Here is a 3,032-nt window from a genome sequence, read left to right on the forward strand (position 1 = left end):
CTCATCCAGAAATTTAGCTTCCTAACCTTAGTTCTATTTTCTTTCTATATCCTCTGCTACTTAATGAGCTCACATATTCCCATGGCTTTAAAAATTACTCCTAAGGAGATGATTTTTAAATGTCACTCTCAAATAACAACCATGTTTTCAAGCTTTATTTCACATTTCTGACTCTTTTACAACACCCAGAAATCCCAATGGCATCACAATTAAACCATTTTTCTCATTATGACTTCCCATTTTTTGATACTGACATCAAGAAATAAAACTAAAAATCTCAAGCCCATGTTTGATTACTTCCTTTTCCATTCTATCTTCAGCAATTTGATTATCAAATTCTGTCAAGACTTTTAATTTCTTCTTCCTTTTCATTAAACCATTAAAACATATTTCATCAATTCTAACATGCATATTTGTTCAAATTTTAATGTCCGAAACTGGCACATGTCTTAAAATTAATGGTGTATTAGGATTGTGTCAAAGTATAATTATCAGGGCTTTACATTTTTTCATGATGGTACATAAAATAAGGATGCATGTTACAACTGATAGTATCTTAGACCTGATGTCTCATTCTACGTAAATTCCTAATTAACCCTCTCTTGAATTATGGACATTGGTTGGTCGAGTACCAATTGTACTTTTCATTATCACCAGAATACTCTTCTCTATGTATAATTCTGAACAATCATTTTCTTGGTCAAGAATTTTTACTTCTACCCATTAGCTGTCATATGAATTTGAAATTCTATGTCTTAGAATTTAAAGCTCTCTGTGATCTAATCCCAATCTGCCTTTATAGTCATCTTTCACAGCTCTCATAATTTCCTACTCCATGTACAAACTGGAATAGCTGCAAAGTATACCTTGTAATTTCTTACCAATGTTCATTTGCTGAAGAAAACATTCTCCTTCAAATGCTACATTCTTCCTTCTGATACTTCCCTTGCAAAATGATAACAGTGAAAGAAATCTAACACGGCTGACTCCATCTTGCTTCTAACCTCAGAAGCTGTCTTTGCTCATATTTACATGTAGGCTAGACCAACTATAGGAGGTATTTAGTTTATTGTTTAAAGCAAGAATGATAATAGTCACTTCTCAAAACTAAACCTCTCCTTTCTCAGGGGTTAAAATCACCTTTGTAAAACTAATGAAAAGCCACAAAGTTTAGAATTATGGTAGGGGCCAGAATTCTGCTAAGATGTAGGCATAGTTAAACTCTAACCAGTCATTGTTTCTTTTGCTAAGATGTAGGTATGTGATATGGTTTGGCTTTGTGTCCCCACCCAAATCTCATCTCTAATTGTAATCCCCATGTATTGGGGGAGGGGCCTGGCGGGAGGTGATTGAATCATGGAGGCAGACTTCCAACTTGCCTTTCTTGTGATAGGTGAGTCAGTTCTCATGACATCTGGTTGTTTGAAAGTGTGTGGCACTTCTTCCTTCACTCTCTCTCTCCTGCCACTATGTAAGATGTGTCTTGCTTCCCCTTCTGCCATGATTGTATGTTCCCTGAGGCCTCCTCAGCCATATGGAACTGTGAGTCAATTAAACCTCTTTTCTTTACAAATTATCCAGTCTCAGGTAGTTCTTTATAGCAGTGTGAAACAGACTAATACAGTAGAGTTAAACTCTAACCAGTCATAGTTTTATAACTTGCCTTTTTGTAACTGCTTACTGCTCAGGATTATGTAGCTGGTGGTCACAAGATGTATAACTTTCATGTCCCCAAATTCCCCTATGGATGACATTGCTATTGTAAAACCTAAGACTGGTGTTTGAAATATTTTTTAGACCTTACATTTTGGTAGAACAACTGATGGCACCTGGACTAGTGACCCATACCTGGAAACTGACTCAGCTTGTCCTGTGGCCCCCACCCAGGAACTGACTCAGTGTGACTCAGTGCCTGAAGATAGTTTTGACAAGCATATTATTTCATCCCTGACCCAGCCAATTAGCAATATCTATTCCTTAGCCTGCTGCCCATCAAATTGTCCTTAAAAACCCTCGCCTCCAATATCTCAAGGAGGTGGGTTTGAGAATTATCTCCCATCCTCATTTCACAGCTGCTCTGTGATTATTAAACTTTCTCTGCTGCAATTCCCTACTGTTTCAGGGCATTGGCTTTTTCTAGGTAGTGGGCAAGAAGAACCCAACTGGACTGTAACACTTTTATCTCTTTGTGACCCACCTGTGAATCAAAGAACAGTTGAAATATCACTTTCTCTGTTAAGGCTTACTGACATGCCCAACCTCTATGGTTTCTCTCTTACTCATGAAAGGGAATATTATGATTCTCATTATTACCCTTTTCTTTATTTTAATAGAGAAGGGAATTTAGGATCAGAGAGTTGTGACTTAAGGGTCAGGGTAAGTGACAAAGTCAGGATTTGAATATAGATCTTTCTTACCTGAAATAATATACTCTGTTTAGTTACAGATGAAATGTAAGAAATGGGCTGAGGAGAACAACAAGATAAAAGTCCAAGTGAGGTAGATTAGATATGGTGGTCATAGCCTCCCCTTTAGGGGCAAAACTTGCCAAATAAATGGAGGAACAAACCACACGACAATGCACAAATTGCATCCTGGGCTTGTGGTTAGAACATCCTGCAGCAAGGAGGAAGAAGAGCAGAAGAGAAAATCCCCAAACTCACACAAGTGCAGAAACCCATGCTCAATGTCTTTGGGCTGACCTATGCTCATTACAATAGTAAACCCTGGGTGGAAATTTAAGATGCTAATGAGGCATGTGATGTATATACCAGCATGTAGAGCTGCTGTGCATGCAGGCTGAAGAAACCACTTGTAATATGCTTAATATCAACACCCCTTCCCACCCTTTCATGAATAATCATGTAATACTCCCATAAAGGGAATTTCCCCAGTATCAGTCAGTGCTATCTCACCTTTGAGCAGCTCGCTCTGATCCGCTGTCAGAGTATACTTTTGCTTTACAGTAACTTTTACATTGGACTCTCTCTCACATTCTTTTGTGCAGTAAAGTCAAGAACTGAACCAGCCCA

The 3,032-nt window shown here is 38.1% G+C and overlaps 1 annotated feature.

The window, feature by feature from the left end:
- Positions 1,399-2,598: an enhancer, noted in NCBI's record as "P300/CBP strongly-dependent group 1 enhancer chr6:101750186-101751385 (GRCh37/hg19 assembly coordinates)". NCBI's record gives its function as "activates an origin of replication core promoter dependent on BRD2, BRD4, P300/CBP, MED14 and CDK7 cofactors, with strong dependence on P300/CBP, by STARR-seq in HCT116 cells {active_cell/tissue: HCT116}" and the evidence as "EXISTENCE:reporter gene assay evidence [ECO:0000049][PMID:35650434]".

This window comes from Homo sapiens, chromosome 6 (assembly GCF_000001405.40).
Source record: "Homo sapiens chromosome 6, GRCh38.p14 Primary Assembly".
Lineage (NCBI taxonomy): Eukaryota > Metazoa > Chordata > Mammalia > Primates > Hominidae > Homo > Homo sapiens.